The sequence below is a fragment of the Homo sapiens genome, chromosome 2 (assembly GCF_000001405.40).
Source record: "Homo sapiens chromosome 2, GRCh38.p14 Primary Assembly".
Taxonomy (NCBI): Eukaryota; Metazoa; Chordata; class Mammalia; order Primates; family Hominidae; genus Homo; species Homo sapiens.
The window spans coordinates 109,693,543-109,714,763 of NC_000002.12; the positions used below are offsets into that span (position 1 = coordinate 109,693,543).

Below are 21,221 nucleotides of genomic sequence, written 5' to 3' on the forward strand. Positions count from 1 at the left end.
TGATGATTTTATAAGGGGTTTCCCCTTTCACTTGACTCTTATTTCTCTCTCTTGCCTGCCACCACGTAAGACGTGACTTTCACCTTCTGCCATGATTGTGAGGCCTCTTCAGCCATGTGGAAATGTGAGTTCATTAAACCTCTTTTGGTTTATAAATTACCCATGTCAGGTATGTCTTTATCGGCAGCACGAAAGCAGAGTAATATACCAATGTTCATATTAAATATGTTGATTGATGTCTCATGTCTCCCTAAAATTTATAAAACCAAACTGTGTTCTGACCACCTTGGGCACATGTCTTTAAGACCTCCTGAGGCTGTGTCATGGGTGCCCATCTTCAACCTTGGCAAAATAACTGAGACCTGTCTCAGATATTCAGGGTCCACAGCAGGGTTGTCACAAACCTTTAATTTGTAAAAAATGTAATAGCTGCAAAGTGCAGTAAAGCAAAGCAAAACGAAATGAGGTATGCCTGTGTGTGTGCATGTGTGTGTCTACAAACATTGAGTATCTCTTATAATGTGGTTTGGGTCTGTGTCCCCACCAAATCTCATGTTGAATTGTAATCCCCAATGTTGGAGGTGGGGCCTGGTGGGAGGAGATTGGATCATGGGGGTGGATTTCTCATGAATGGCTTGGCACTATCCCCTTGGTAATTTCCTCAGGATAGTGAGTTCTCACTATGCTTGTTTAAAAGTGTGTGGCACCTCCCCCTTCACTCTCTTTGCTCCTGCTCTGGCAGTGTGACAGGTAAGCTTCTTCTTTGCCTTCTGCCATGACTGGAAGCTTCCTGAGCCCTCCCCAAAATCAGAAGCCTGCTATGGTTCCTCTACAGCCTGCAGAGCTGTGAGCCAACTAAACCTCTTTTTTTTTTTTTTTTGAGATGGAATCTCACTCTGTCATCAGGCTGGAATGCAGTGGCACAATCTCGGCTCACTGCAACCTCTACCTCCCAGGTTCAAGCGATTCTCCTGCCTGAACTGGTAAGCATAATGCAAATATTCCAAAATCCCAAAACAACACTTGTGGTCCCAGGCTTTTCAAATAAGGTATAATAGGCTGTTCTCACATTGCTATAAAGAAGTAACTGAGGAAATTTTCAGATTTTCCTAATCTGAAAATCCGAAATGTGAAGAGCTCCAATGAGCATTTCCTTTCAGCATCATGTTGGCATTCAAAAAGTTTTGGATTTTGGAGCATTTTGGATTTGGGATTTTCTAATTAGGGATACTCAATCTGTATGTATATATCCATAGGGATGTGTGTGTGTGTGTGTGTGTGTGTGTGTGTGTGTGTGTATCTCCAGATTTGGGAAGTTTTTGGCCATTATTTCTTCAAAGACTTTTCAGTCCCACTCTCGGTTTCCTTCTATGACTCCCCAGTAGAAATATTAGCTCTTTTGTTATTGTCATATGGGTTCCTGTTCCACCTCTTTCCCAGTCTGTTTTCTCCATTGCTCAGATGGGGTAAATTCTACTGATTTGTTCTCAGGATCTCTGATTCTATCTCCTCTCATTTCCATTATACTATTGAGCCCACTCAGAGAGTTTTAAAATTTCATTTCTTCTATTTTCTTGTTCCATCATTTCCATTTGAATCCTTTTTATAACCTCTCTTTCTTTGCAAAGAATTTTTTTTTCTTTTTGCTTAAGGGAATTCTTAATTGCTTGTTGAAACATTTCTATATTGGCTGCTTTAAAACCCTTCCAGATAATTCCAACATGAGATTCATCTTGGTGTTAATGTCTATTGACTTTTCTCATTCAGGTTGTGATTTTCCTGCTTCTTGGTTTGATGAATAATTTTCAACTCTACCCTGGATATTTTGGATACTAATTTTGAGACTCTGGATCCTCTGCAATCTCCTTGTGTTTACCCAGTAGTCCCTGCTGAGATGCAGCATGAAAGCTTATGATTGTGAATTCTGCTTCCCATGGGTCCTGTCAACACCATCTCAGCAAACATGGAACCAGCAGGTGCTACCGGTGGGGCTGGTGGTTCAGCTTGATTGATGCTGGACCCCACTGATACTACCTTGGTGGGAAAATCGGGGTATCACCTGCTTCTATCAGATAGGAGATAGATAGAAATTAATGATTTTTGCTTCAGCTATCAAATCTTTGCTCAGCTTTGCTGACACCACTACACGGAGAAATTGGAGCACTGGCACCTGCTTCCATGGGACAGAGGTATAGGGGGAAAGACCAGCTTCTTACTCAGTTTTGCTAAAACTGCTGGGGGCAGTTTTTCCATTAACTTTTAGCTGGAGTGTGGTAGAATTTGCCAAAAAGGTTTTTTTTGTTGTTAGGCCACAGTTTTCTCAGCACTTTAGTTAGGGAGGACAGGATTTGGGGGGAACTTCTCTTCCTTCTCCTTCAGCTCCTTTTCTTTTCTCTTCCCTCTCTTCCCCTCCTCCTCTCTCACTTTTTCTTTTTTTTTGAGATAGAGTCTCACTCTATTGCCCAGGCCACAGTGCAGTGGCCTGGTCTCAGCTCACTGCAACCTCCACCTCCCGGGTTCAAGTGATTCTCCTGCCTCAGCCTCCCAAGTAGCTGCGATTACAGGCACCTGCCACCATGCCTGGCTAATTTTTTGTATTGTTAGTAGAGATGGGGTTTCACCATGTTGGCCTGGCTGGTCTCAAACTCCTGACCTCGTGATCTGCCTGCCTCAGCCTCCCACTGTCCTGGGATTACAGGCATGAGCCACCATGCCCAACCAAGATAATAAAGACTTTCTCCCAGATTTTCTTCAGAAATTATATAGTTTTATATCTGATATTTAGGTCTATGATCTATTTCAAATTACTTTTTGTATATATGTGAAATAAGATTCCTTATGGATATCTGATTATTTCATCACCATTTGTTGAAAAGACTATATTTTGCCTATTGTGTCACCTTGGCATAATTGTCAGAGATGAAATATGTGGGTTCATTTCTGGAATCTGTTCTGTTCCGTTGATTTACATGCCTACTCTAATGCCATTCCTAAAGTCTTGACAACCTTAGCTTCTTGGTCTTAAAATTGGTTAGTATAATTCCTCCAACCATTGTTCTTTTTCAAACTTGGTTTGGCTATTTTAGGTATTTTACATTTTCATGCAAGCTTAAGTTTAAAAAAACCTGCTGAGATTTTATCGGAATTGTATTAAATCTATATACCAACTGGGGAGAATTGACATATTAACAGTAGCGAGTATTGTAATTCATGAACATGGTACACCTCTCCATTTATATAAATCTTTTTTTTTGAGACAGGGTCTCACTCTGTCACTCAGGCTGGAGTACAGTGGCATGATCACAGCTCACTGCAACCTCAAACTCCTGGGCTCAAGTGATCCTCCTACCTCAGTCTCCTGAGTAGCTGAGACCACAGGTGCGCACCACCATGCCCAGCTAATTTTTAAATTTTTTGTAGAGACAGGATCTTATTATGTTGTCCAGGCTGGTCCGGAAGTCCTGGACTCAAGCAATCCTCCTGCCTTGGCCTTCCAAAGTACTGGGGTTATAGGTGTGAGCCACCACACTTGCCCATTTATGTAAATTAAAAAAAAGTTTCTCTCAGTGTCTTGAAGTTTTCAATGTACAGGTTTGCACTTCTTTTGTTTGATTTATCCCTAGGCATTTCATATTTGTGTATGCTAATATAAAAGGCATTTCTTTGGCTGGGCGCAGTAGCTCATGCCTGTAATCCCAGCACTGTGGGAGGCCGAGGTGGGCAGATCACCTGAGGTTGGGAGTTCGAGACCAGCCTGACCAACATGGAGAAACCCTGTCTCTACTAAAAATACAAAAATTAGCATGGTGGCACATGCCTGTAATCCCAGCTACTTGGCAGGCTGAGGCAGGAGAATTGCTTGAACCTGGGAGGCAGAGGTTGCGGTGAGCCAAGATTGTGCCATTGCACCCCAGCCTGGGCAATAAGAGCAAAACTCTGTCTTAAAAAAAAAAAAAAAAGAGGCTTTTTTCCCCTGAATTTAAAATTCCAAAAGTTAGCTGCTAGTATATAGAACTACAATAGATTTTTGCATAAATATTTTGTATCCTGTCATTTTGCAAAATTCAAAAGTTTAAGTATCTTTTTTGTAACTTCTTTGGAATGGTTTATATAGACAATCATGCCATCTGCAAATTAGGGTATTTATTTCTTCTTTCTGATCTGTTTACCTTTTGTTTCTTTGTTTTGCTTTATTGTACTAGGTAGGACCTCCAGTAAAATGTTAATTAGAAGTGGTGAGAGAAAACATCCTTCCCTTATTCATTATCTTAGGAGGAAAGCATTTATTCTTTCATTATTATGATGTTAGTCTAAAGTTTTTTTTTTTTTTTTTTTGAGATGGACTCTCACTCTGTCATCCGGGCTGGAGTGCAGTGGCGCAATCTCGGCTCACTGCGACCTCCGCCTCCCAGGTTCAAGTGATTCTCCTGCCTCAGCCTCCCAAGTAGCTGGGATTACAGGCATGTGCCACCATGCCCAGCTAATTTTTGTATTTTTAGTAGAGACAGGGTTTTGCTATGTTGGCCAGGCTGGTCTCAAACTCCTGACCTCAGGTGATCCACCTGCCTCAGCCTCCTTGTGCTGGGATTACAGTCATGAGCCACTGCACCCAGCCTGTGCTTCACTTTAGATCTATTGCTGTGTCTATAAATTAACCCAGTTTTTTTTTTGCAGTGTTTAATCTGCTGTTAATCTCATCTAGTGTATTTGTTCATTTTAGACACTGTATCAAATGGTCCACTTAAGTCTTTTAAATTTAAACATTTCATTTCTCTTAGCCAGGTGTGGTGGCATGAGCCTGTAGTCCCAGCTACTCAGGAGGCTGAGGCAGGAGAATCACTTGAAACTGGGAGGTGGAGGTTGCAGTGAGCTGAGATCGCGCCACTGCACTCCAGCCTGGACGACAGAGTGAGACCCCATTTCAGAAAAAAAAAATACATAAATAAATAAATAAAAATAAAAATTGTATTTTTCTACTTATAATGTTTTTCTATAGCTCCTGAATATATTTATAATATTTAGAGTTACCCATTTTAAGGTTCTTGTATGCTCATTCCATCATCTCTGTCAATTCTTGATGTGTTTGTATTAATTGAGATTTTCCTCCTAGTTGTGGGTCACAATTTTTACCTTCTTTGCATGACAGCTTTTTTTTTTTTAAATTTAGTTGCTGTATTTGTGAATTTTACATTGTTACATGCTGGAGTTTTTTTGCATTCTTTTAAAGAGCATTAATTAGCTGGGCGTGGTGGCACGCACTTGTAGTCCCAGCTACTTGGGAGGCTGAGGCTGAGGCTGGAGAATCTCTTGAACCCGGGAGGCAGAGGTTGCAGTGAGCCAAGATTGCGCCAGCCTGGGCAACACAGTGAGACTCCGTCTCAAAAAGAAAGAAAGAGCATTGTACTTTGTTTGGCAAGCAGTTAAATTCCCTGCAGATATTTTTGTGGGTTGGTTGGAGAGGTTTGTTTGAGTGGGTGTAAGGCGGCCTTTGTTCTAGAGCCACTTTAACCCCAGTTGTAAGGTGTGCCTCTTCTGAGGACTCTGTCCCAGGTTGTGAAGCCTGCTTACCTGCCTATGTGGGTTCTGGCAGTCTTGTCACCTACTGCTCTCTGGCGATTCTTTCTCATGCCTGTGGAATGTCATTCCATGCATGCACTAGTCAGTTCTCAAAGGATCAAGGGCACGCCTCTGCAGAGCTCCAAACGCCCTTTCTTTGCGCATTTTCTTTAGTACTCTGCTCTGTGTATTCTAGTTGTCTTGGCCTCTTCATTCTACAGTTGACTCGTGAACAATGCGGGGGCTAGGGGGACTGACCCCCACCCGCCTCCCTGTGCAGTCAAAAATCCACATATAACTTTTGATTTCCTCCAAACTTAACTAGTGTAGCCTGTTATTGACCAAAAGCCTTACCAATGACCAGAACAGTCAGTTAATGCATATTTGGTGTGTCATATGTGTTTTATACTGTAGTCTCACAATAGAGTAAGCTAGAGAAAAGAGTGTTCTAAGAAAATCATAAGGAAGAGAAAATATATTTATTATTTATTAAGCGGAAGCAGATCATCATAAAGGTCTTCATCCTCATTATCTTCACATTACATAGGCTGAGAAGGAGGAGGAGGAGGGGTTGGTTGCGTTGTCTCAAGGGTGGCAGAGGCCGAAGAAAATCCTTGTATATGTGGCATGCACAGCTCAAACCCATATTGTTCAGGGGTCAACTGTTAGCTGTGCAGTGATTTTCTCTCAGCTTCTCGGCTCAGTGAGACCTCGGTTGGGGACCAGCGGAGGGGAGGGCTCTTCAGCTTCTCGCCCTGTGCTGCAGCCCAGACTTCGCCTCCAGGAAGTAAGCCAAGGCAATCATAGGGCTTATCTGGTTTGTTTCTCTTCTCTCAGGATTTGCTTCCTTTGCTTCCTTGCACTGCCTGTTGCTCAGTCTCTGAAAATAGCACTCATTTATTTTGTTTAAGTTTTTATGGCAGGAAGATAGTTCCTGTAGCAGATTATCTTCCATGGGTGGAGGCTGACATTCTGGATAATTTTTTAATTGTTACTTTGATATTGTTCTCCCCATTTAAAAAGTTCTTGCCAAAAAGAAATCTTAAGTCCATTTATAGTTAAGTAGTGTGTAGTGTCCGGAATGTTTTCAAATACATTCAAGGTCAGAGTAAAAACATTAATGATCATACTTGTGTGGACCCAGAAAATCTGAGACAGGTCTCAGTTAATTTAGAAAGTTTTATTTTGCCAAGGTCGAGAATGTGCGCCTGTGATACAGCCTCAGGAAGTCCTGATGACGTACCTAAGGTGGTTGGGGCACAGCTTGATTTTATACATTTTAGGGAGATGTGAGACATCGATATATATAAGAAGTAGATTGGTTCGGTCTGGAAATGTGGACAACTGCAAGCGAAGGCAGGAGGACTGGAAGGAAGCGGGGAGGGCGCTTCCAGGTCACAGATAGACAAAACAGTTGCATTCTTTTGAGTGTCTGATTAGCCTTTCCAAAGGAGGCAATCAGATATGCATTTATATCAGTGAGCAGAGGGATAACTTTGAATAGAACGGGAGGCAGGTTTTCCCTAAGCAGTCCTCAGCTTGAATTTTCCTTTTAGCTTAGTGATTTTGGGGGTCCAAGATATTTTCCTTTCACATTTGCAAACAAATGTGAATACTTGGCAGTCTTATGGGAGATGCTGGTAAACCTTGTGGAGCTCGTGCAAACACAAAACTTCTAATGAAGACATGGCAAGCAGAGAAGATAAGGAAAGACTCAACAGATCCGAGGAGTCAATGTCATTAGAGGGCTGATGTGGTGACTTCTCCCCCGAAGGACATGGCCTAGCAACAGGTGGGAAGGTGATGTGGGAGGAAAGCGGGGAGTTTAGGGAAAGGCAAGGGCAAAAGAGCGTTTGTGAATGACACAAACTTTAGAAACTACAAAGGAGGGAGGTTCAGCCTCACAGCCTCTTGTGGCTGAGGGAAAGCAGTGGAGCTGAAGATGCAGGAGACGCGTTCACAGGAGATGGGCTCCAGGCTCAGCCTTGCCGCTTGCTTTACAGAAGGAGAGACTGGGAAGATCTGTCCCCTTGTGCAGAGGCAGCATGCAAGCACACGAGCCCAAACCCCATGAGGAGCTCCTGCTGCAACTGGGGGCAGTTTCTTCATAAAAGGCAAGTCGGAAAAAAACACATTATTTTCTCTCATAGGGATTTTCCCTTCGAACCTTGTTAACCCAGAATATCTAAGACAGGTCTCAGTCAATTTAGAAAGTTTATTTTGCCAGGGTTGGGGACGTGCCTGTGATATGGCCTCAGGATGTGCCCAAGGTGGTCGGGGGTACAGTTTGCTTTTATACGTTTTAGAGATACATGAGACATCAATCAGTATGTGTAAGCTGTACAGTGGTTTGGCCTGGTAAGTCAGGAAGTGGGGGGCCTCCAGGTCAGAAGTAGACAAGAGACAAAAGGTTGCATTCCTTTGAGTCCTTGATCAGCCTTCCACTGAATACGCAATTTAGTCTGGCTCAGTGAATCTGCATTTTTACATAAACAATAGGGCAGAAGAAGCAATCAGATACGCATGTGTCTCGGGTGAGCCTTAAAGGGATGACTTCTAGAGTTCTGTCCGCTCTTTGTCCACAAGGAATTTCCTGTGGGCAAATTGTGAGGGAGGTATCTTTGTAGCTATCTTACTCAGGAATAAAACGGAGGCAGGTTTTCCTGACATAGTTCCCAGCTTGACTTTTCTCTTGGCTTAGTGACTTTGGGGTCCTGAGATTTATTTTCCTTTCACAACCTTTACTTGAGTAAAAGTTTCTCCTTTAGGAACCACAAAGGCCAGTCAGTCCCTGAGCTTCTGATTCTTTTGTCTCCTTAGTGACTATACTTGTGTGCTGTTTCACCACACACCTTTGAATCCCTTTAAATTCTGCTGAGGTACAGTAAACAATCACCTACCTACATGGTTTGACCTGAGGGATCCCCAGAAGAGTGGTCTTCTGAAATACTGCTGCCATGTGTTTGCCTCAATGCCAGGAGTCCCTCTGTGTGGTGCCTCCAGGCAGTGGCATGGGATGTGGCAAGCTGGCCACCCAGCAGCCCCACGTGAGTGTGACTTGGTGTGTTAGCTTCCAGTCCTCATGACAGTGACAGAGACCAGGCCATGGAGGAATGGGAAAAGAGTGGAACTTGGGATGTGGAAAGCCCTCTAGAGAGAACAAACTTGGAGGGTTAAAAAACCCCAGTGGTAGAGGGCATTAAAGCAGGAGATCAGAAAGAGGAGATGAAGAGACTACAAAACCAAACTCTGCCCATACCATTGCTTGTGTCAGGTTGGGATCAGTGGCTCATGCTTAGTCACTGCTTTGCATTCGTACATCTTCTGTCCAACCTATGTTCCATGGCTGACCTGCCACCCACCACCTGAACTCTGGTCTGAAGGCGTCCTGCAGCAAGCCAGAGCGTGTTCCATGTCACCTGATTGTGCAGACATGGTCTGGGCACCACCCTGTCTACCTTCTGTACTCCACAAAGGGATAACAAACCACCAACCACACAGTAAGACATACCCTTGTACTCAGAGAGAATTTATTTTGGAGCGTTCCTTCTATTCTGACCTTAGCTTTCTGTACTTCCTGTCCTCTGCAACATCGGAGGGTTTGTATTGATGGGAGTTTTGAAAGTGCTAGGCTGACGGTCACAGCCAGTTTATTTCCCCACATCTTTCCTTCTCACAGCCGCATTCTTTGGGTTCTGAATCAGTCTTTTTTTTTTTTTAATTGCAACTACGTCATAGGTATATTGGTTTTTCCTGGAAACAGAGGTGGGGCTGCTTAGGTGATGATGACCTGTTCATTCCCAGACCTCAGCTCCGGTATGAGTATGTCTCACTGAATCCCAACCCACACCCTACATCCTAACCTCATAATAGCATGATAATTATATTACAAAAATAGCAAACAAGGACCATCAAATTTGGGGGTGGGGGCTAGGAGAGGAATGTTCAAAAAGATTTGTCATTCTGAGTTACAGGGTTTCCGAATTAACAAAAAATAACCACTTCAGAGCTAAAGTAATAGGAAAAATAAATACATATTAACCAAACAACATTAGCACTAATTAAGGTCCAAATGTTTAAAATAATTGGCTGGACAGGAAACTGCTGGGCTCCCAGGCATTTACCAAGCACTGAGATTCGCCCGCTGTTGTTATTAATCACTGAGCTTTGAATTGCAAGCATTTTATATTGCATTCTGCCACTGAGCTGTGTTGTGCAACTCTAATCGAATAGCACTGTGTCTTTGGAGCCACATCTGTTGCCTAACATGGTATGTTCACATTCACTCAGACACTGCATAAATTAAAAAACCACGTTTTTATTTTCTGTATTTTATTTATTTATTCTTGAGATGGAGTCTCGCTCTGTCGCCCAGGCTGGAGTGCAATGGCACTATCTCGGCTCACTGCAACCTCTGCCTCCTGGGTTCAAGCAGTTCTCCTGCCTCATCCTTCTGAGTAGCTGGGATTACAGGCACGTGCCACCACGCCCAACTAATTTTTGTATTTTTAGTAGAGATGAGGTTTCACCATGTTGGTCAGGCTGGTCTCAAACTCCTGACCTCAGGTGATCCGCCCGCCTCGGCCTCCAAAAGTACTGGGATTACACGCGTGAGCCACCACGCCCTGCCTATTTTCTGTATTTTAATTTTACTTCACCTTGTAGTTTGTTTTTCCAGCTGAGCCTTCCTCCTTTTATCTAACACACACTGTCAGAATTATATTCCTAAAACACCACTTTGCAAACGTCCTCCCTCTGCCCAAAAGTGGAGGTTGTCAATTACCTGTTGATGAGGTCCACACCGCGTAAATTGGCTCTTGTCATGGAGAACTGGTGGACACCATGAGTAGCAGTGCTGTAAAATGGCCTGGAGCTGCCAATCACTTCTCCCACTGCCAATCACTTCTCACACTGAGGGAGACTACCTAGGCTGAGGGTGGTGGGTCAAATTAAATGACCTCTCTGCCCAGAGTTTTATTGGCCCTGGGGTTGAAACTTGAAACTATCAGGTCAGTCAGATGATCCCTCCCCCACATCTGGAAGTGGGCTGAGAAACCCCTTTTTAGTGAGCCTTGAACAGAGCTGCTCAGCAGCTTTACCTGCTCCCTGTTTCCCCCTGAGCTTTGCACAGCACAGAGAACTGCTCTAGAAAGGAAAAAATAAAGCATGGGCCAGGCATGGTGGCTCATGCCTGTAATCCTAACACTGGGAGGCCGAGGTGGAAGGATCACTTGAGCCAAGGAGTTTGAGACCAGCCAGGGCAACACGGCAAAACCTCATTTCTACAAAACATTTAAAAACCTTAGCTGGGTGTGGTGGCACGCGCCTATGGTCCCAGCTTCTTGGGAAGGCTGAGGTGGGAGGTTGAGGCTGCAGTGAGCTATGATCACACCACTGCACTCCAGCCTGGGCAACAGAGAGAGACCCTGTCTCAAAAAAATAACAAATAAAAATTAAAAAATTAAAGTAAGCCAGGCGTGGTGGCTCAGGCCTGTAATCCCAGCACTTTAGGAGGCCGAGGCAGGTGGATCACCTGAGGTCAGGAGTTCGAGAACAGCCTGACTAACGTGGCGAAACCTCGTCTCTACTAAAAAATACAAAAATTAGCTGGGCGTGGTGGCAGGCACCTGTAATCCCAGCTACTCGGGAGGCTGAGGCAGAAGAATCACTTGAACCTGGGAGGTGGAGGTTGCAGTGGGCCGAGATTGTGCCATTGCACTCCAGCCTGGGTGACAGGAACGAAACTTCATCTCAAAAAGAAATTAAAGCAGGCATGTATAAAGAGCATCAAAGACTCAATAAGAGAAACAGCAGCAATTCAGTGTAAGTCAGAATCGTACAGGATGCTCAAACCCCTTTAGGAATTACAAAATGAAGCAATGAGAAATCACTTTTTGGCCAATGATATTGGCAAATTAAAAACAAAATGGAGGCCATTGCACTCCAGCCTGGTCAACAGGGCAAGACTCCCTCTCAAAATAAATAAATAAATAAATAAATAAATAAATAAATAAATAAAAATGGGGCCAGGTGCAGTGGCTCATGCCTGTAATCCCACCACTTTGGGAGGCTGAGGCGGGCGGATCCCCTGAGTTCGGGAGTTCTAGACCAGCCTGACCAATATGGAGAAACCCCATCTCTACTAAAAATATAAAAATTAGCTCGGTGTGGTGGTGCATGTCTGTAATCCCAGCTACCCGGGAAGGCTGAGACAGTAGAATTGCTTGAACCCGGGAAGTGGAGATTTCAGTGAGCTGAGATCACACCATTGCACTCCAGCCTGGGCAACAAGAGCAAAACTCTGTCACACACACACAAAAAACAAAAAAACCAAAGTGGAATATATGCAGCGAGGGTGGGTGGATAGGCAGGAAGATGCTTAGTTAGACGCAAATAGCATGGGGCTTCCTAGTGGCTTTCTTACCATCTTCAGGAGTGGCGTTAAAGCTTGCTCTGGCTCAGTCCCTGTGTGCATCCATGAGGTCATAGTTCCATGAGGTTCCATCCAGCTCAAGCTCTGTGGCCGGGCCTGAGCCCCAGGGCGTTGTGTGGAGCCACTCCAGAGCCAGGACTCAGGCAGAACCATCCCTGGGCCTCAGGCAGAGCCATTCTGGTTCAGTGCAGTGAACTCCAAAATACGAACTTGGGGGTGGGAGTTCAGGTCTCAGTCCCCAAGGAGCTCTTGGACTCTTACAAGAATGGAGCCACCGCCTCCACAGCTCTGCCAACCCAGGTTTTAGGAAATGGTTATCTAATGGACATCTCAAATCCAAACTTCTAAGGTGGAAATCTTGATCTCAGCCCCCCACAAAAAATAACAGTTTCCACCTGCACCTTTACCAGAGATGGGGCAGGTAAAGGTATCCCTAGTTGCTCCAGAGACAAACCAGTGACCAGAAGCTTGGTGTCATCTGGGTTCCTCTTTCTTAGATTCATGCCCCACCTATTAGAATATTCTTCCAAATGCATTCAAAATCCAGCCTCTTCTCATGACCGACACCTGGTGGGAGCTGCTACCACCTCTCACCTGGGCTAGGCTGGGGCTTCCTGTCTGTTCTTCTGCCCCTGTCCCCAGTCTATTCTCAGAGCAGCAGACCAGGAGCTCCTTGTGTGATGTAAATTATGCTGTGCCACCCCCTGCTCACACCGGCATTGCTGCCCATTTCACGCAGATGCGGAGCCAAAGTCTTATCGGGAAAGAAGTAAAGAAAGGCCACGTGACTTCTCCAGTGTCACTTCCACTTCAGCCCACTGGCCCTGCCAGTCCTTGGAGAGGCCAGGCTCAGCCCTGCCCTAGGGCCTCTGCACTGGTCTTTCCCTCTGCCCAAGATGCCCTTTGCTCAGAAGTCTATGTGGCTACGTCCTTACCTCCTTTAAGGCTTTGTTCAAGTCTTCCTACTGATGCCTGCCCTGACCACTGCCCTCCCCAAGGCCTCCAGTCCCCTGAAACCTGCTCTGCCCTCTCCCATGGCACCAATTCCCTCTGATAGCCCATATAATTCTGTTATTTATTATGGGCATTGTCTGTCCCCCACTTCTTTGACTTATGAAGACAAAGGTCATTCTTTTGTCCACTGAGGGGTTCTGAGCACTAGAAATGATGCTTGGTGCACAGTAGGCACTCAATAAGTATTTGTCTGATAAGCGAATGAATGAATGAATGAGTGAATGAGCAGTGGCTATCAGGTTACTTCAGATACAAGGATGGAGCACCCAGGGGTTCTTCACAAAGATGGGGTGCCCAGCGGGTTGCCCCTCACTTTCCACAGCAGGAAGCCTGGCCCTGCATTGATGCGAGTCCCCTAGAGGTGCCCAGTTTCAGTTCCACCGAGGGAGGTGTGCCACCAGGGCCAAGTAATGCCATCACAGACATTGAGTTGGAGAGGGAAGACCCACCAGCTGCTCACAGTACAACTGCCAGGAGAGAGAGGGCTGGAGGGACGAAAGGAGATATTACATCTTACTCTATTTTATTTTGAATTGCTGGGATTTTAGCATTTAACAAATATTACTTTTTTGATAAAATAATTCACAATTTATTTATATAAACAATTTTAACTTCAGATCTACTGCCTAGTAACCCCCTTGCAGGAAATTGATGTTTACTCTAACCAGTGACATGTTTTGCAGTGCTTTCTTAAGGTGAAATTCACATTTCAAACCCTTTAGAGCCTGTAGCACAACTGCTGACAAAAAGAACCCAACTGGCTCTTTTCTTGCCTTCTATCCTCTGTGACTGGCATCTGCTTCCACTTAGATTTGACATAGCACCATTGCTTCCCCAACTCATCCTCAAGAAACCCAGGGGAAGCAGTGCTAAGATTATGGGCTTATTGGAAAGCAATCTACCCTGATTATACCCTTAGCCAGGCTGACATTCAGCTATAAATACCCACGTTGCCAAATGGATTATAAAACACCACTACAATTCTGTATTCATAGGTACCTTGCTGCAGCTTCTAAGCCCTCCAGATTCCTCCACCACCCGCCCTGCCCTCCCTATCCTCCCATGACCCAGCCACTGAAGGGAGAACAGGGCCCAGCAGGGATGGCTTTTAGGACAGCATCCGCCTGTTCTGACGGGTCAGCGCCCATGCCGGGCTGGTTGTTCGATAGTTTGAATAGCCCTCTGCCCATTTAACCTCCCTTTTCTTCTAATGTTCAGAGCTCTTTAGTCTCATACCTTTTCTCTCTTTCAACCACACCACTTCAAAGTGTTGAATAAATACCTAAATGTTTAGATGTAAATAAAAAAATGCAGAACTTCTTGTTTGAACCTCTCAGATAAGCTCTCCTTGGCTGTATTGCAAGGCCCAAAGCCTGCCCTGTGGAAAGTGGCATAGAGGGTGTGGCCTGGACCACAGGTGCCAGCACCTCAGCAGTGCAAGTGCCATCCTGTACTGAGGGAACATTGGTCTGGGCTTAGAGAAACCTACTTGGCATCAGTTTTCCTTTGTACCTCTAAAGCAAGACCCCAGGTCAGGCACAGTAGCTCACACCTGTAATCCAAAAACAGTCGGAGGCTGAGACGGGAGCATCACTTGAGCCTAGGAGTTCGAGACCAACCTGGGCAACATGGCAAAACCCCATCTCTACAAAAAATCAAAAATTTTTTTAGATGAAGAAAATTAGAACATTTTAGCTGGGCATGGTGGCACACGCCTGTAGTCCCAGCTACTTGAGCCTGGGAGGTTGAGGCTGCAGTGAGCTATGATCACACCACTGCACTCCAACCTGGGCAACAGAGCAAGATCCTGTCTCTAAAAAAACAAAATAAGGCCGAGTGTGGTGGCTCACACATGTAATCCCAGCACTTTAGAAGGCAGAGGTGGGCGAATCTCTTGAGTCCAGGAGTTCAAGAGCAGCCCGGGCAACATGGCGAAACCCCATCTCTACAAAAAGTAAAAAAATTAGCTGGCGTGGTGGTGCATGCCTGTAGTTCCAGCTACTTGGGAGGCTGAAGGTTGCAGTGAGCCTGGGAGGCAAAGGTTGTAGTGAGCCAAGATTGTGCCACTGTACTCCATCCTGAGCAACAGAGTGAGACCCTGTCTCAAAATAAATAAATTAATTAATTAAGTTTAAAAATAACAAAACAAGACTGGGCATGGTGGTTCACTGCTGTGATCCCAGCACCTTGGGAGGCTGAGGCAGGTGATCACCTGAGGTCAGGGGTTCGAGACCAGCCTGGCCAACATGATGAAACCCTGTCTCTACTAAAAATACAAAAATAAGCTGGATATGGTGGTGGGCACCTGTAATCCCAGCTACTTGGGAGGCTGAGGCAGGGAGAATCGCTTGAACCCGGGAGGCAGGGGTTGCAGTGAGCTGAGATTGTGCAGTTGCACTCCAGCCTGGGCAACAGAGCAAGGCTCCCTCTCAAAAATAAATAAATAAGTAAATAAATAATAAAAAATAAAAATGGGGCCAGGTGCAGTGGGTCACGCCTATAATCCCAACATTTTGGGAGGCCAAGGTGGGTGGATCACCTGAGGTCAGGAGTTCAAGACCAGCCTGACCAACATGGAGAAACCCTGTCTCTACTAAAAATATAAAAAAAATTAGCCAGGCATGGGGGTGCATGCCTGTAATTCCAGCTACTCGGGAGGCTGAGGCAGGAGAATTGCTTGAACCCGGAAGGCAGAGGTTGCAGTGGGCTGAGATCGCACCATTGCGCTCCAGCCTGGGCAACAAGAGCGAAACTGTGTCTCAAAAATAAAATAAAATAAAATAAAATAAAATAAAATAAAATAAAATAAAATAAAATAAAATAATAAAAATAACAAAACAAAACAAAACTTTAGCTTTGCTGCCTGCTCCTGGGAAGCAAGCAGCTGCTGCCACCATGCAGTGTGGGGTTTGGAGTCTGATGCCCCACTCTGAGAGCCAGTGCCAGGGCTTTGCAATCCTGCTGCCCCTCACTCTGTCACCCTAGACAGACCACTGAGCCTGGCTGCACTGCAATTCCTTATCTAGAGGTGGAAATCATCACAGCACCTACCTTGTAGGGTTGTAAAGATGAAACAAGGTAATGCATGCGATGCCCTTGGCACTGTGCCTGGCACAAGGGAAGGGCTCATAAAAGCCCTCAGCTCTAGCACATTATCATTTACATATGGAGGGAAGGTCTTTGATCATATTTAAAACAAGTACTTGTATAATAAGAGTGGGCAAATTAGAGAAACAAAATGATTTTAAAAGTGATTTACTCGCTGGGCACGGTGGCTCACGCTTGTAATCCCAGCACTTTGGGAGGCTGAGGAGGGCAGATCACCTGAGGTCCAGAGTTTGAGTCCAGCCTGACCTACATGGTGAAACCCCATCTCTATTAAAAATACAAAATTAGCCAGGGGTGGTGGTGCATGCCTGTAATCCCAACTACTTAGGAGGCTGAGACAGGAGAATTGCTTGAACCTGGGAGATGGAGGTTGCAGTAAGCTGAGATCGTGCCACTGCACTCCTGCCTGGGTGACAGAGCAAGACTCCGTCTCAAAAAAAAAAAAAAGCCAGGTGTGGTCGCTCATGCATGTAATCCCAGCACTTTGGGAGGCCGAGACGGGTGGATCACTTGAGGTCAGGAGTTCGAGAGCAGTCTGGCCAACGCGGTGAAAACCCATCTCTACTAAAAATTCAAAAATTAGCCAGGGGTGGTGGCACACACCTGTAGTCCCAGCTACTCGGGAGGCTGAGGTGGGAGAATTGCTTCAACCCAGGAGGCGGAGGTTGCAGTGAGCCGAGATAACGCCATTGCACTCCAGCCTAGGCAACAGAGCGAGATTCTATCTCAAAAAAAAAAAAAAGTGATTTACTCTATCAGTTATATGTGGATTCCGGCCCCCATTGCCTATTTCTAACATGAATTTGTGTGAAATTGTGGCTTTAAAATGAAATTTGGAGACACTCAAAAGTATACCTGGGCCAAGCCTAGTGTTGGCACAAGGTGGGGCTGAAGGCTCACCTCTGCGAGGTGCCAAAGCCTCAAGGACACCAGAAGCAGTGGCCATGTGTCCAGACCCCACCACCAAGGCCCTGGCCCACAAGGTCCTAGGGGGCAGCCATGGCTTTGGAGAGCCTTCCAGGTGCATCTGGTGAGTTCTACCTTCAACTACCATCAGCAGAAAGCACAGAGTCAGGGAGAAGTGAGCAGAGCATGGGAAGCAGGGAGTGAGGGAGGGGTGAGAGGAGACCTGGGGAAGGATGGGCTGAACCCCCCGGGCACTTTAGCTGTGTCAAGTCAGCAGCTTTGGCATAGAAAATGGGATGGTTGATGATTCCTGAGACAGCAAGATGTGTTCATAATAGGAAGGGGATTCAGCTCTGCTAAGGTGGCAAGGTAGGCAGTTTATGGGACATTCTCTCAGGTGGAGATGCCTGTACCCTGCACTGAGGCCTCCTCCCTATGCCCTCTCTCTGCTTGCCCACATCCAGTCCCAGGGCTTCAAATGCTGTCTGTAAGCTGGTGACACATTTGCGTAGGTCTGCTGAGTTCCAGCTTCCTATCTGCCCCTGGGGACCTGATATCTCCTCAGGGACATCTGAAAGGCAGCGCAACCTTGACATGGCCAAGTGAGAACTTCAGCCGCCCCGGCAAGTCCCCTGCAACTGTCTTCAGCAGCTCCGTCCCTATGCCCAGTAACTTAGGCCAGCATTCTCTGCCCTTCTTGAGCCCACTTCTCCTCACACCCTATAAACGTCACCATTTCCAAACCCCTCACGCCCAGCCATTCCTACCATTGCCAGGGGTGGGATGCAGCAGACCACCCTGCCCCTCCCCTGGGACCCTGCAGTGGCTCCTCACTAGCCTCCCACACCTGCCCTTGCCCCCATAGCTTCTCTGCACAGCAGCCAGAAGAGTCTTACAAAGTCAAATAAGCCACTCTCTTGTTTCACAAGCCTCCAGTGGCTTTCACTCTTGATAAACCCCCAAATCCTTGCCTACACGGTTCTGAGGCTTGCAGGACCAGCTTACCATCATCTCTGTGCCCCCTCCTTCTACGCTTTGATGCCCACTGGCTATGCAGAAGCCTGAGGAAGCCTCGCTGGCCTGGCCTGCCCTCCAACAAGCTGTGCACCAGCCTGTCCTGGCCTCTGCCTGAAATGCTGTCCTGGAGACCCCTCAGCCTGCCTCCTCCTTGCTCAAATCACACAATTATGAGGGGCCTTTCCACACTCAGAGTGAAGCAGCCCCCTTTGTCTCGGTCTATTTTCTCTTCTGCATGGCACTTAGCACCTGAAAGTGTCCGTTGTGTGTTTATCATCTGTTGAGCCCACTTCAGTGCAAGCTCTTAATGGCTGCCTGCAGTCTTGGCTGCTGCTCGCTTCTCCCTGCCCTCCCACTCACCACTAGGCCATGTTCCTCAGGGCAAGAGTTTACAATGCAGTGCATCCTGCCTGGCTCCTTCCCTGTCATCGGGGCTGATGCAGCCAGCTGGTCCAGAGCTCGGGAAGAGGATGTTTTGCAACACCACGCTCCATTTTGGTTTTGAACAAATTGCTATTGACTGCTGGATTTTTCTTTCCTCTTCAAATGAAAGATTTCATGTCCAGGTAGGCTGTTAAAACAGGCCTCCTATAAATCCCTTCCCCAGTGAGCTCAGGGCTGCCCTGGCCGGCTGTGTCAAGTGACAGGCCTGGAATGGAGAGAACCAGGGTCAGTGGTCAGATGGATCCTGCCGGCCCTGCCTGACTCTGGTCACTCATTCTCAGGCTGACACCAGAGCCTTGCCCTCTCCAGGCCCTGTGTGTCCTGCACCCTCACTCTCAGGGCTATGTAGAACTTTCATGGGTCCTGGGCATTTTTGCCTTCCTGGGCCTTTTCCACTATAAAAAATTATTTATTTTATTTTATTTTTTTGAGATTGAGTCTTGCTCTGTCACCCAGGCTGGAGTACAATAGCACGATCTCTGCTCACAGCAACCTCTGCCTCCTGGGTTCAAGCGATTCTCCTGCCTCCGCCTCCCAAGTAGCTGGGATTACAGGCGTGTGCCACAAGGCCCTGCTAATTTTTTGTATTTTTAGTAGAGACAGGGGTTTCACCATGTTGGCCAGGATGGTCTTGAACTCCTGACCTCGTGATCTGCCCACCTCGGCCTCTCAAAGTGCTGGGATTACAGGTGTGAGCCACCAAGTCTGGCTTTAAAAATTATATTTTACAATGATATTGGCATAAAGGCAAATATAATCTAGGCCGATTCATGATTACATACTCATTATATCTACTCATTTTTCTTCTGATTTTAAAAGAAATGAAAATGAAAGTCATATTCACAGGCCCCTAAAGCAAGTCTCATGGGTCCTGTGCTGTGCGCCAGAGCGAGAGTGAGTGAGAGTGGGCTCTGCTTCGCTCCCCTGCATGGCCCTGTATTGGGGGGATGGTACCTGAGACAAGGAGAAAACTTCTGTTTGACGGAATATGAAAAAAATCCAACTTGAGGGTACACTGAGGGGAGGGCCAGCCCAGCCCTGCTTTAAACTTCAGCAGCCTTCCTCCACCTGGGTCTCTTGAAACCCTCCCTCCTCTTGCACTGGCCACCTGACATTTCACATTCAGACCGCTTTTCCTCCAGAGCAGGGTTCCTGGAAGCATGGTGCAGACCCACTTCGTGGAGGAGAGATGGTGAACTGCAAATTCTGAGTCCTACCCAGTTACGAATCTCCAGGACAGGTTCAGGGTTCTTCATCATTAATAAGCCCTCCTGGTAAGGCTTAGGGCCACTGAAGTTTGAGAAAAGCTCCCTGAAGTCTAAATACAAACATCACTTCATCCCCCACAAAGGACAGCCTTGATTAGGAGGTAGAAGCCAAGCAGGAGCAGATGGACTAGAGGGGCCAGCAAGGGCTGAGTGTCAGCTCCAGAACGTGCCTCTGAGCTGAGTGACAAGGAAACCCATACAGCCTCTCAGCGCTCCAGCTTCTTCAGCTAGAAATTGGGAATAACAGCACCTACTTCACTGGGTTGGAAATCAATTGGGACCATGAATTTGTGTTTGGTAAGCTGTGAGAATGTTAGGTACTAGCTCTGCAGAAGTGGTCGTGGTCTTGGGGTTCTTGGCCTGCTGGGGTCCCTGATCCTTGTGCCCAGAGAGTCCATGAGATCAGGATAAAAGCACTCAACAGCTAGGAATGAAAGAAAACTTCCTCAGGCCATTAAAGGGCATCTGCAAAGAGCCCACAGCTAACATCATGATTGAAAGCTCTCAATGAATGATTGATCGAATGATCGAAAGCTTTCCTCCTAAGATCACTCTGTTTTTGCTACTCTTACACTCAACACAATACTTCCAACACCACATGTGTGGGTTTTCCCCATACAGCAATTCTCCAGGGGACACCAGCTGGATATCCTATAATTTAACTCAGTTCTGACACTATCTACCTGGAGTTGGAGTCAGATCCCACAGGTTAAGGGCTCAGGCCCGTAGGACTGCCCCCACTTCAGACGCCAATCATAAGTAGTAGATTACCCACAACTACATGGAGGTTCTTTTTTATTTTTTCTTTTTGAGATAGGGTCTTGCTCTGTCACCCAGGTTAGAGTACAGTGGCATGATCTCAGCTAACTGCAACCTCTACCTCTGGGGCTCAAGTGATCCTCCTACCTTACCTCAGCCTCTTGAACAGCTGGACCAATAGGCACGTTGCATTACACCTGGCTAATTTGTGTGTGTGTGTGTGTGTGTGTGTTTTTCTCTTTTTTAAAAGTTTTTATTTTATTTTATTTTTTTGAGACGGAGTCTCGCTCTGTCGCCAGGCTGGAGTGCAGTGGTGTGATATTGGCTCACTGCAACCTCTTCCTCCCAGGTTCTAGTGATTCTCCTGCCTTAGCCTCCTGAGTAGCTGGGACTACAGGCATGCACCACCACGCCTGGCTAATTTTTGTATTTTTAGTAGAGATGGGGTTTCACCATATTGGCCAGGATGGTCTTGTTCTCTTGACCTCGTAATCTGCCTACCTTGGCCGCCTAAAGTGCTGGAATTACAGACGTGAGCCACTGTGCCCGAGCTTTATTTTATTTTTATTTTTTATTTTTTTTGAGACAAGGTCTCTCTGTATTGCCCAGGCTGGAGTGCAGTGGTGCCATTGGCTCACTGCAACCTCTACCTCCCAGGTTCAAGTGAGTCTCCTGCCTCATCCTTTGAGTAGTTGGAGTTACAGGTGTGTGCCACC

General features: G+C 46.2%; 1 protein-coding gene and 1 long non-coding RNA gene across 3 annotated transcripts in view, besides 1 other annotated feature; both read left to right on the plus strand.

Moving 5' to 3' along the window:
* Positions 1-21,221, plus strand: part of RANBP2 (RAN binding protein 2) — a 1,122,820-nt gene that overhangs the window by 974,061 nt on the left and 127,538 nt on the right. The window lies entirely within an intron of this gene.
* On the plus strand, positions 944-8,014 carry LOC105373545 (uncharacterized). 2 transcript variants are annotated; one of them, XR_923175.2, is made up of 3 exons: positions 944-983; positions 1,768-1,976; positions 7,560-8,014. It is a non-coding gene; the product is annotated as an uncharacterized LOC105373545 (long non-coding RNA). The 2 variants fall into 2 exon arrangements; XR_001739112.1 differs by lacking the exon at positions 7,560-8,014 and adding an exon at positions 4,779-4,815.
* Positions 8,646-9,243: an enhancer, noted in NCBI's record as "H3K27ac-H3K4me1 hESC enhancer chr2:110459765-110460362 (GRCh37/hg19 assembly coordinates)". NCBI's record gives its function as "activates a minimal SCP1, AML or CMV promoter by ChIP-STARR-seq in naive H9 embryonic stem cells {active_cell/tissue: H9 hESC(naive)}" and the evidence as "EXISTENCE:reporter gene assay evidence [ECO:0000049][PMID:30033119]".